At 42.7% G+C, this 12,600-nt stretch overlaps 1 protein-coding gene across 8 annotated transcripts in view; it reads left to right on the top strand.

The window, feature by feature from the left end:
• NUP210L (nucleoporin 210 like) overlaps positions 1-12,600 on the top strand; it is a 162,427-nt gene that overhangs the window by 99,564 nt on the left and 50,263 nt on the right. For all 8 annotated transcript variants that reach the window (XM_011510122.2, XM_011510123.2, NM_001159484.1 and 5 more), the window contains 4 exons: positions 721-783; positions 1,146-1,325; positions 9,184-9,264; positions 9,353-9,484. In XM_011510122.2, the coding sequence (XP_011508424.1) occupies positions 721-783; positions 1,146-1,325; positions 9,184-9,264; positions 9,353-9,484 (456 nt within the window). The remainder of the gene's footprint in view (positions 1-720; positions 784-1,145; positions 1,326-9,183; positions 9,265-9,352; positions 9,485-12,600) is intronic.

Here is a 12,600-nt window from a genome sequence, read left to right as displayed (position 1 = left end):
ATGGACAGGCGTGGTAGCTCACGCCTGTAATCCCAGCACTTTGGGAGGCTGAGGCAGGTGGATCACCTGAGGTTAGGAGTTTGAGACCAGCCTGGCCAACATGGTGAAACCCTGTCTCTACTAAGATACAAAATATTAGCTGGGCATGGTGGCAGGTGCCTGAAATCCCAGCTACTTGGGAGGCTGAGGCAGGAGAATCGCTTGAACCTGGGAGGCGGAGGTTGCAGTGAGCTGAGGTCTCGCCACTGCACTCCAGCCTGGGTGACAGAGCGAAACTCCTTCTCAAAAAGAAAAAGAGAGAGAGAGAGAGACAAAGAAAGAAAGAAAGAAAGAGAGAGGGAGAGAGAGAAAGAAAGAAAGAAAAAGAAAGAAAGAAAGAAAGAAAGAAAGAAAGAAAGAAAGAAAGAAAGAAAGAAAGAAAGAAAGAAAAGAAAGAAAGAGAAAGAAAAGAAAGAGAAGGAAAGGAAGGAAAGGAAAGAAAGAAATTAGTCAGGCATGGTGGTGCACACTTCTGGTCCCAACCACTCAGGAGGCCAAAGCCGGAGGATTGCTTGAGCCCAGGAGTTCAAGGCTGCAGTGAGCTGTGATCGTGCCACTGCACTTCAGCATGGGCAACAGAGCAAGACTCTGTCTAAAAAAAAAAAAAATTTAAATGACCATGATATGTTATAAAATTGACTCTAGTTAGTTACTGTTGTCCTTTTGGTTTTCTCCTTCAAGGTGTTTCCTCCATTCAGACTTCTTCCAGAGAAAATGACACTGATTCCAATGAATATGATGCAGGTGAACTTACAGGCAGAAAAAATAAGATTTACCTTTTCTCCTTACCTCTCTCTCTCTCTCACACACACACACCTCTCTTCCTATTGATCTCTTATTTACTCTCACCCAAGTACTAGTGGATCTGATAAAGAACAAGATTAGTATTTTCCCTGACCTATGATGTACATCATATAAAAACTCTCTTGGAATCCCATGGATCATTTGCAGTACTTCCATTTCTTCTGCATTTGAGTTGATATGGGATATGTTGTTCAAGAAATGGGGGAAGATGAAGAAGTCAAGTTGCTTGGACAAAATGTTGGGAAAAGAGACATGATTTCTCCCTCATGTTCTAGGCATTCAATGGTATATTTAAATTCCAGGTAATGTCTGAAGGTGGCCCCCAGCCCCAATCCATCGTTCACTTCTCCATCAGTAATCAGACCGTGGCTGTTGTTAATAGGAGGGGGCAAGTTACAGGGAAGATTGTTGGCACAGCTGTGGTTCATGGCACCATCCAGACAGTAAATGAAGATACTGGCAAAGTCATTGTGTTTTCTCAGGTATTGGTTATTTGCTCTGCTCTGCTTCTATTCTTCTATTGAGGAACCATACTGTGGGAGATAGGGAGGCAGTGGTAATGAGGAGGGTGTCAGCAGCCCAGGAAAAGCCTTAGAGTGCCCCTACCTGGCATTCTGTCAACCAGGCATGGAAAATGTCATCTTTAGTGAAAACCCCACAGAGTACTTGGCACTGTTATAAGATATGGTTCCCATCCTTAAAGAATGCTTTGAAGAAGAGAAAAACAAATATGTCTATCTAATAAGTTTTTTCCAAATGTTTGTAATACATAACAATATATGTATTTATGGGGTACATTGCCAAGACCAGGTTGGTTGTGGAGACCCTAACCCAGCAGCACTAGAGGAATTAAAGACCCACACACAGAAATATAGAGTGTGGAGTGGGAAATCAGGGGGCTCACAGCCTTCAGAGCTGAGAGCCATGAACAGAGATTAACCCACATATTTATAGACAGCAAGCCAGTGATAAGCATTGTTTCTATAGATTATAGATTAACTAAAAGCATTCCTTACGGGAAACAAAGGGATGGGCTTTGGCTAGTTATCTGCAGCAGGAACATGTCCTTAAGGCACAGATTGCTCATGCTATTGTTTGTGGCTTAGGAATGCCTTAAGTGGTTTTCCGCCCTGGGTGGGCCAGGTGTTCCTTGCCCTCATTCTGGTAAACCGACAACCTTCAGCGTGGGCATCATGGCCATAACGAACATGTCACAGTGCTGCAGAGATTTTGTTTATGGCCATTTTTGGGGCCAGTTTATGGCCAGATTTGGGGGCCTGTTCCCAACATGTTCTCCCTTTTTATTTTTGCAAGACAATAAAAGCAAAGGCGGCTTTATCATGGTGAGCTACTTCTCTCAGAAGTCAGGATCTGCATCTGCAGACTATATAAAGGCAAACAACACAGATTAAAAGCACAATCATCATCGAAATCACAGAGCCTCCAAGTGTTTTTATCCATGTTAACAGGTTACTAGCTGCTAATCTGTCTGCAGCTCCTTCAAGCACTCCAGTTCCTGACATTAAGGTCAGGTGTGTCTGGGATGCTTTAAATATTTGTTCTTTTAATTTTGCAATATCCAAAGACAAGTTTGCAGAGTGTCCTTCTAGATGCTTTTTTATTCTTTCCCAAATTTGGATCTTATTAAGAGCCATTAATAGTTTCCACAAATCCTTATGTTTAGCCCCTAGAGCGGGCCATATCATTTGAGGTTGAAGTGCCACTACACTGCCATGTTTCCAGATAGTAGGAACTCTTGCCATACCTCTTATCATTTCTACCATCTGACCATTTTGTTCAGACCAGCTGAACATAGTGTGGCTATGGCACACAGACTGGGAGGTGCAATTCATGCTAAACATCCCCTTTGGGGACCAATCAATAATGACTGTGCAGCATCTCTGCCTGTTCTGCAGTGCAATCTTCCCAAACAAGTACATTCATTATTTCTGGCCAGATTCAATTCTGTTTACGAATAGGTTTTTGAGGGCAATATGCCTCAATTAGAGGAGCAGATTTATTATGGTAAATACTGAGATCAGAAAGCATGTGTAACTGCATCATAGAGTGATTACATCCAGGCATTATTGCCAGCCAAGATTGATAAATATGCCCAATAAGTATAATTGTTCTCTGTGTCAGCCCTTGTTGAAGGAATACTCAGAGCAACGGTGATCACCACTATCATAACTATTGTTAAATTACTCATTGTGACTGGTTGTCCCACTTTCCTCAGGTTTTCTTCCTCCATCTTTGACAGCTTCTTGATCTGTCCCCGGGTAGGTGGCTGTGTTCGACGGGTGTTGCTCATGACAGTTGGGGTCCTCCTCAGCATCAGTCTTGACATGGCTGCAACCAGGGGATCCTCGGGTTTCTCCCAGAATCTCTTCTTCAGCATCTGGCTCATGATAAGGTTTCAGGTGTCGTGATGGTATCCAAATCGGCTGTTGATTTGGTCCAGGAGAAACACAAGCATAACCTCTACCCCAAGTTATTATTTTACCTATTTCCCAACTTTTTGCTAACGGATCTCACTACCAAACCAATTGTTCTGCTTCTGTCTTTGCAGCTGGTTTCTGTAGATGCTGTTCAGCTGCTGATAGCATCTGGCCTTTAGGCAGGCTCAAAAAATTTAAAGTCAATAATGCTAGATTCAGTTGCATACGGGGGTCCCGTAGTCCCTGTTTCTCCCCTTTTGCTTTTGCAACTGCTATTTTAGGGAGAGGTTCATTCTTTCCACTATGGCTTGTCCTTGAGAATTATATGGGATACCAGTAATGTGTTTAATATTCCATATAGAGAAAAATGTAGCTAGAGCTTGGCTACTATAGCCTGGGGCATTATCTGTTTTAATAGAAGCTGGAATGCCCATCACCAGGAAACACTGCAAAAGGTGATGTTTAACAGAGGCAGAAGACTCTCTTGATTGGCCTGTAGCCCAGACAAAGTGAGAAAAGGTGTCCACACATACATGTACATAAGCTAGTCTCCCAAATGAGGGAACATGTGTGACATCCATTTTCCAAAGAGAATTAGTTTTCAATCCTTGAGGATTAACTCCTGCTGTAAAAGATGAGAAATGTACCATCTGGCAAGTTGGGCATCGCTGGATAATAGTTTTAGCTTCTTTCCAGGTAATGCTGTATCTGCGCTTTGTGACCAGAGACATTAACATGGGTTAAATTGTGAAAGTGTCGGCCAGGCACAGTGGCTCACACCTGTAATCCCGGCACTTTGGGAGGCTGAGGCAGTTGGATAACGAGGTCAGGAGATCGAGACCATCATGGCTAACACAGTGAAACCCCATCTCTACTAAAAATAAAAATAAAAAAATTAGCTGGGTGTGGTAGCGGGTGCCTGTAGTCCCAGCTACTTGGGAGGCTGAGGCAGGAGAATGGCGTGAACCCAGGAGGCAGAGCTTACAGTGAGCCAAGATCACGCCACTGCACTCCAGCCTGGGCAACAGAGCAAGACTCCATCTCAAAAAAAAAATTGTGAAAATGTCTAGCATTATATATTGTAGTAGCAACTAGGCAATCAGCCATTTGATTCCCTTCAGTTAAAGGTCCTGGAAGAGTTACATGAGCCCTAATGTGAGTGATGTAAAAAGGGTGCATTCTACTCCTAACTGCTATTTGCAATTGGGTAAATAAAGTCATCAGTTGCTCATCAGTGTGGAATTGTAGCTGAGCATTTTCAACTAACTGTGTAGAATGTACCCCATATGAAGAATTGGAACTCACATTAATAGGCATATCAAAAGCAGTCAATACCTCAATTACAGCTACAAGCTCTGCTTTTTGAGCTGAAGTATAGGGCATCTGAAAAACTTTACCTTTTGAGCCAGAATAAGAAGCTTTACCATTATTAGACCCAACTGTGAAGACATTTTCAGCATCTTCAATTGGTTTAAATTTAATTATTTTAGGGAGAATCCAATTAGTTAATTTCAAAAATTGAAATAATTTTGTTTCAGGAAAATGATTATTGAGAATACCCACAAAATCAGCTAAATGGATTTGCCAAGAAAGACTATTTATAAAAGCTTGCTGTATTTATGCCTTCGTGAGAGGGACAATAATTTTTCTGGGATCATATCCATGTAATTTGACAATCTGAGTTCTCCCATTTCCTATCATAGGTAGCAATTTGATCCAAATAAGGAGTTAGAGTCTGTGAATTAGTATGTGGAAGAAAAAAACATTCTACTAAGTCCTGCTCTTGGACAATAACACCAGTAGGTGAATGCTGAATTGAAAACATTAGCAAATCTGGAGTCTTCTCTGGATCTATTCTATCTTTTGAGCTTTATGGACTTGCTTTTCAATCAGCTGTAACTCTGCCTCAGCCTCCTTTGTTAATTGTCGAGGGCTAGTGAGACTAGGATCTCCTCTAAGGATAGAAAATAGATTACTCATGGCAAGGTAGGAATGCCTAGAGCAGGTCATATCCAATTAATGTCCCCTAGTAATTTTTGAAAGTCATTTAATGTTTTCAATTGATCCCTACATATGGTTACTTTCTGTGGCACTATTGTAGTGTCACTTACTAAGGTTCCTAAGTAGGAGTAAGGAGTAGTAGTCTGAATTTTGTCAGGAGCTATAATTAAACCAGTGCAAGAAATCGAATTTTGTAAATGATCATAATATTGGGGTAATATTTCTCGAGTGGGGGCAGCACAAAGTATATCGTCCATATAAGGAATAATGTAATACTGTGAAAATTTTTTATGAGTAGGTTCAATTGCTTGCCCTACATACTTCTGGCAAATTGCTGGACTGTTTAACATGCCTTCTGGCAACACTTTCCGATGAAAACGCTTAGCAGGCTTCAGGTTGTTTACTGCAGGAATTGTAAATGCAAACCATTCACAGTCTTGCTAAGCTAAGGGGATAGTAAAGAAACAGTCTTTTAAATCTATGACATTAAAGGCCAGTTTTTTGGAATCATAGCAGGAGAAGGCAGTCCTGGCTGTAATGCCCCCATAGGTTGTATAACTGAATTAATGACTCTAAGATCTGTCAGCATTCTCCATTTACCTGATTTTTTCTTAATAACAAAGACTGGAGAATTCCAAGGGGAAAATGCTGGAGCTATGTGTCCTTTTTCTAATTGTTCAGTAACTAAGTCCTCTAAAGCCTCCAGTTTCTCTTTACTTAACGGCCATTGTTCTATCCAAATTGGCTTGTCTGTTAACCATTTTAAAGCTATAGATTCTGGAGGCTTAACAATGGCTGCCATCAAAAATGATATCCTAAACCCTTGGCAGGAACTTTTCTTTCTGTTTGAAGCGGTTCCTTCAAACCCTGCAAGTATTTTTCTAGTCCCATACTAGGGACGTACCCTATTTCATGCATCATATGTTGACTTTGAGGGGTATATAATTGCTCTGGAATTAGAACTTGTGCTCCCCATTGTTGTAATAAATCTCTTCTCCATAAATTTAAGGGTACAGAAGTTATAATTGGTTGAATAGTCCCAGGTTGTCCATTGGGCCCTTCACAATGCAAAATATAACTACTTTGATATACTTCAGGGGCTTTACCAACTCCAACTATGTTAAATTGAGCGGGTTGAATTGGCCACACAGATGGCCAGTGCTGTAGAGAAATGATTGAAATGTCCACTCCTGTATCTACCAAACCTTTAAATTTCTTTCCCTGAATAGTTATTTCACAGGGAGGATGTTTATCAGTAGTTTGATTCACCCAGTAAGCTGCTTTGCTTTGTTTATTTGTGCTCCCAAATCCTCTTGTTTTTCACTTTTCCCCATTTCCACATACAGCACAATCAGGAGCCGTGCTATACGCTCTCCTGGCTCTGCTTTCCAGGGAACAGAAGTAGATATAACAATTTGAATTTCCCCACTGTAATATGAATCAAGGACTCCTGTATGTACTTGCACTCCTTTTAAATTTAAACTAGATCTACCTAGAAGTAATCCTATCATCCCCGCTGGCAAGGGTCCACAGACTCCCGTAGGTACTTTTTGCTGGGGCTCCCCAGGCAGAAGACTCACAGCTTTTGTGCAGCATAAATCTACTGCGGCATTACCAGCTGTGGTGGGGGACAGACATTGTACAGGGGTGAGGGAGTGGCCTGAGCCAGAAATGCCCTGGTTTGGAACAGGGCCCAGGATAGGCCCCTCATGGCATTTCCCAAAATCGGTTTCCCATCTTTATCAAACTTAGAGTGACACTGATTAGTCCAATGTTTTCCTTTTTTACACTTCGGGCATACACCTGGCTCATACTGATTAATGGCCTGTTTAAACTCTTTAAGTATTTTAAAAGGAAAAAGCTCAAACATAGCTATAATATTTCCTTGTTGATCTGGGGGGTGTATCCTAACAGGGAACTGCCAAGCCTCTATATCACCCTCTCTTCTAGCTTGCTGGATTCCTGCCTGAATAGAACTGAGAGCGGTTGCTTGAGGCGCTACTTGAACAGTCACTGGGGCAACTACTTTTTGCCCAGTGTCCTCTGGAAAAGAAAGATCTGGAGGGTCAGGCCACTCTTTTTCTTCAAAATAAGGAGGGGGTGCAGAAGGGTAGGGATGAACCTCTTCCTCTTTGCCACTTTAGCTTTAGCTGGCAAACAAACCTGCTCTTTCACCTCTTCTGTTATTTCGATATACTTTCCTTCCTCCACATCATCAGTGTGAAAATGTTCCAAGGTGGAACAAACTAGAGCCCACACTTGTTCCATTGTTACCCTGATGCTTCCAAGCTCCCCTTCTTACTCACCACAGGGATTGCTTAAGAGTACTCAGGTGTCCTCCAGCTTAGTTCCACATTCTCCAACCGTCGCTCCAATGACCCTTTGACCCAGGTTGGAGCCCCACGTATGGGCACCACTTACCGAGATCAGCTCAGTCGTGGAGACCCTAACCCAGTGGCACTAGAGGAATTAAAGACACACACACAGAAATATAGAGTGTGGAGTGGGAAATCAGGGGGCTCACAGCCTTCAGAGCTGAGAGCCATGAACAGAGATTTACCCACATATTTATTGACAGCAAGCCAGTGATAAGCATTGGTTCTATAGATTATAGATTAACTAAAAGCATTCCTTACATGAAACAAAGGGATGGGCTTTGGCTAGTTATCTGCAGCAGGAACATGTCCTTAAGGCACAGATTGCTCATGCTATTGTTTGTGGCTTAGGAACGCCTTAGGCAGTTTTCCACCCTGAGTGGGCCAGGTGTTCCTTGTCCTCATTCTGGTAAACCCACAACCTTCAGCGTGGGCATCATGGCCATAACGAACATGTCACAGTGCTGCAGAGATTTTGTTTATGGCCATTTTTGGGGCCAGTTTATGGCCAGATTTGGGGGCCTGTTCCCAACAGTATATGAGTTATTTTGATATAGGCATACAATGCATATTAACTACATCAGGGTAAATGGGGTATCCACCACCTCAAGCATTTATCCTTTCTGTGTTACAGACAATCCAATTATACTCTTTTAGTTATTTTTAAATAAACAATAACTTATTGTTGACTGTAGTCACCCTGCTGTGCTATCAAATACTAGCCCTTTTTCATTCTAACTATATTTTTCTGCCCATTAATCATCCCCATAGCCCCCCTACCCACCCACTGCCCTTCCCAGCCTCTGGTAACCATTGTTCTACTTTTTTGTTTGTTTTGAGTCGGAGTTTCGCTCTTGTTGCCCAGGCTGGAGTGCGATGGCATGATCTCGGCTCACTGCAACCTCCGCCTCCCGGATTCAAACGACTCTCCTGCCTCAGCCTCCCAAGTAGCTAAGACTACAGGCACATGCCACCACACCCAGCTAATTTTGTATTTTCAGTAGAAATGGGTTTCACCATGTTGGTCAGGCTGGTCTTGAACTCCTAACCTCAAGTGATCCACCCGGCCTCCCAAAGTGCTGGGATTACAGGCGTGAGCCACCGTGCACAGCCCATCATTCTATTCTTTATCTCCATGAGTTCAACTGTTTTAATTTTTAGCTCCCATAAATATATAAGTGAGAACATGGGAAGTTTATCTTTGTCTTTCTATGCCTGGCTTATTTCACTTGACATAATGATCTCTAGTTCCATCCATGTTGTTGCAAATGACAGGATCTCATTCTTTTTATGGCTGAATAGTACTCTGTTGTACATATGTACCACATTTTCTTTATCCATTTGTTTGTTGATGGACACTTAGGTTGGCTCCAAATATTGGCTATTGTGAATAGTGCTGCAATAAGCATGGGCAAGGTTTTTTACTGAATGTTAAAAACAATAGCAAACTAGTTATCAAAAGCATCTCTGTCCACCCCACAGAAACTCCCTCTTAGCCTAAGCTTGCTCTCCACCCTGTTGAGCAGGATGAAGTACAGATTGAAGTTGTTCAGCTAAGGGCTGTTAGGATCCTTGCAGCTGCAACTCGGCTCATCACAGCTACCAAGGTCAGTATGATGGCTCTGTTCAGGGCTCATTATTCTGATAATTGCAACTGGGCAGAATATATAGCACAATGCTGCTATTTATTTTCAGATGCCAGTTTATGTCATGGGAGTAACCAGTACCCAGACCCCTTTCTCCTTCAGCAATGCTAATCCTGGGCTCACATTCCACTGGTCTATGAGCAAAAGGGATGTATTGGATCTAGTGCCCAGGCATTCAGAGGTAAGAATTTGCCTGTTTATTGTGTTATCTTAGGGATCTTGATATTAAATTTATTTTAATTTATCATAAGTTTCTTTTTGTTTTGAGATGAGGTCTCACTCTGTCCCCCAGGCTGGAGTGCAGTGGTGCAATCTCAGCTCACTGCAACCTCCACCTCCTAGGCTAAAGTGATCCTCCCACCTCAGCCTCCCGAGTAGCTGGGACCACAGGCACATGCCATCATGCCTGGCTAATTTTTTGTACTTTTTTGTTGAGATGGGGTTTTTGCCTTGTTGCCCAGGCTGTTCTTGAGCTCCTGAGCTTAGGTGATCCACCCACTGTGACCTCCCGAAGTGCTGGGATTACAGGCGTGAGCCACCATGCTCATCCTATCATAAGTTTTAGACTGATTACTCACTCCCTAAACTACACAATATTATTACTTATTTACTTTTCCTACTGTTCTCTGAACTCTGAACTCTGGAAACCTGCAAAGCAATAAAGAATCCAAATTTGAGTATGCAGATAATACTGTATGATTATTTATTTTTATTTTTTGCTGGAAAGAGCTCTCAAAAGTGATCTTTCTTTTAATATTGTATTTATTAATGTTGTTGTAATGTTGTATTTGTGAGCAGATGACTATGTTAGATGAGTAACACTATGAATATAAAGTATATGCATAAAGTATAAAAAATAAATATACAATTTTTATTTTTTATCATGTTCAGACACACATTTGATTATATTCATAATCATGGTTGTGCTACATGCTGGGTGATTACATTAATAGTAAGAAAAGCAAATATAGAGGGCTGTAGGTGGCATTGCTTTGTTTAGCATGCTCCCAGCCCACCCTACTTGGAATTGGGGAAGAACTGGATTCCCATGTCAGGCACCATGGGTACCACGGAGCTGTAGTCGCCTATCAACTGGGCAGCTGATTCTGGACTGGGTGTCTTATATCAACGACAAGTTTAAGAACAGTGATTAATTAAACTGCCCCTCCATGGTTCCCTTTGGTATCTGGTGGTATTGGCTCCTCCCAATTCACTACCTGCTGTATCTGGAACCATAGAAGACCTCAGGATAGACATCTAGGATATCCACAGTTCAACTTGAGAGTATATTTCTCTGAAAAAAAGCTTTGATGTTTTGATGCATATAGTATTAAACCTCACACTGAAACCTGAAAAAGACAAAAAAAAAGCAAGTTTGGCAGAAACTATGTAAAGTTTGCTGCCGACAAATTTTACCTAAATGAAACTCACCCAAGGTGGTCTGAGTACAGTGGCAACCAGCTACATCTGGGTTTTACCTTAGGAAAAAGGACATGGGGCCATGATACCCAGTAGGTCACAATTCAGTGCTCACGAGAACAAAGAATTAGAGTTATATCTTGGGAGATAATAGAGGGGTTACAGGAGCTAGAATTACGAGGATATTTCGGCAGCCAGCTAAAAAGAAAAGAGAACTTTGGAAAAAGTAAAAAAAAATTTGTAATCTTTCTAAAAATATCCTTAACCTATAATTTAAGGAAACTCTAGTGGTTAGATCTTCTGTCTGTGACTTCCTAGAGTCTAGTTATACTGGAATTGTGGAAGAATGGAACTGTACTTAGTTTGATGCAATTTAATGTAAGGATTTGGCTTTTTTCTTTTTCTTTTTCTTTTTTTTTTTTTGAGACAGAGTTTCCCTCTTTTTGCCCAGGCTGGAGTGCAATGGTACGATCTCGGCTCACTGCAACCTCCGCCTCCTGGGTTCAAGCGATTCTTGTGCCTCAGCCTACTGAGTAGCTGGGATTACAGGTGCCTGCCACCAGGCCCGGCTAATTTTTTGTATTTTTAGTAGAGACGGGGTTTCACCATGTTGGCAAGGCTGGTCTCAAACTCCTGACCTCAAGTGATCCACCCACCTCGGCCTCCCAAAGTGCTGAGATTACAGGCATGAGCCACCATGCCCAGCGGGCTTTTTTCTTGAATAACAGACAGGAGTGTGTGAAAGGAGGGAATGGCTAGGCCTTGGCCTCTATTCTACTTCTCCCTTTCTTTAATTTTTTTTATGTAAAGCATCACTCTTTTCTCTAGCAGAAGAAATAATTGAGAGCCACACAGATTTTTTCTTTTCCTGCCTCAGATCTAGCATAGGCAAATTGGGTAATGAAATGGGCAATAGAAAGGCCTTCATAAGGCCTGTAATCCCAGCACTTTGGGAGGCCGAGGCAGACTTGGGATCAGGAGTTTGAGACCAGCCTGGCCAACATGGTGTAACCCCGTCTCTACTAAAAATACAAAATTTAGCTGGGTGTGGTGGCACAAACCTGTAATCCCAGCTACTTGAGAGGCGGAAGCAGAAGAATGGCTTGAACTCAGGAGGTGCAGGTTGCAGTGAGCAGAGATCACGCCACTGCACTCCAGCCTGGGCGACAAAGTGAGATTCTATCTCAAAAAAAAAAAAAAAAGGCCGGGTGCAGTGGTTCACGCCTGTAATTACACAGTGGCTCACTTTGGGAGGCCAAGGCAGGTGGATCACCTGAGGTCGGGAGTTTGGGAGTTCGAGACCAGCCTGACCAACATGAAGAAACCCCATCTCTACTAAAAATACAAAATTAGCCGGGTGTGGTGGCGCATGCCTGTAATCCCAGCTACGCGGGTGGCTGAGGCAGGAGAATCGCTTGAACCCGGGAGGTGGAGGTTGTGGTGAACTGAGATTACGCCATTGCACTCCAGCCTGGGCAACAAGAGTGAAACTCCATCTCAAAAAAAAAAAAGGCGGAGTGCAGTGGCTCACGCCTGTAATCCCAGCACTTTGGGAGGCCGAGGCGCGTGGATCACTTGAGCCCAGGAGTTCAAGACCAGCCTGAGCAACATGGCAAAACCCCGTCTCTACCAAAAATACAAAAATTAGCTGGGCATAGTGGCGCACACCTGTAATCCCAGCTACTCAGGAGGCTGAGGCAGGAGGATTCCTTGAACCCGGGAGGCAGAAGTTGCAGTGAACTGAGATTGCACCACTTGACTCCTGCCTGGGGAACAGAGCAAGACCCTGTCTCAAAAAAAAAAAAAAAAGGTCTTAATGGGCTGGGTGTGGTGGCTCACAGCTGTAATTCCAGCAATTTGGGAGGCCAAGGTGGGTGC

This window comes from Homo sapiens, chromosome 1, assembly GCF_000001405.40.
Source record: "Homo sapiens chromosome 1, GRCh38.p14 Primary Assembly".
Taxonomy (NCBI): Eukaryota; Metazoa; Chordata; class Mammalia; order Primates; family Hominidae; genus Homo; species Homo sapiens.
The sequence above is the reverse complement of the archived record's forward strand: the minus strand, read 5'-3'. Positions and strand labels throughout refer to the sequence as shown.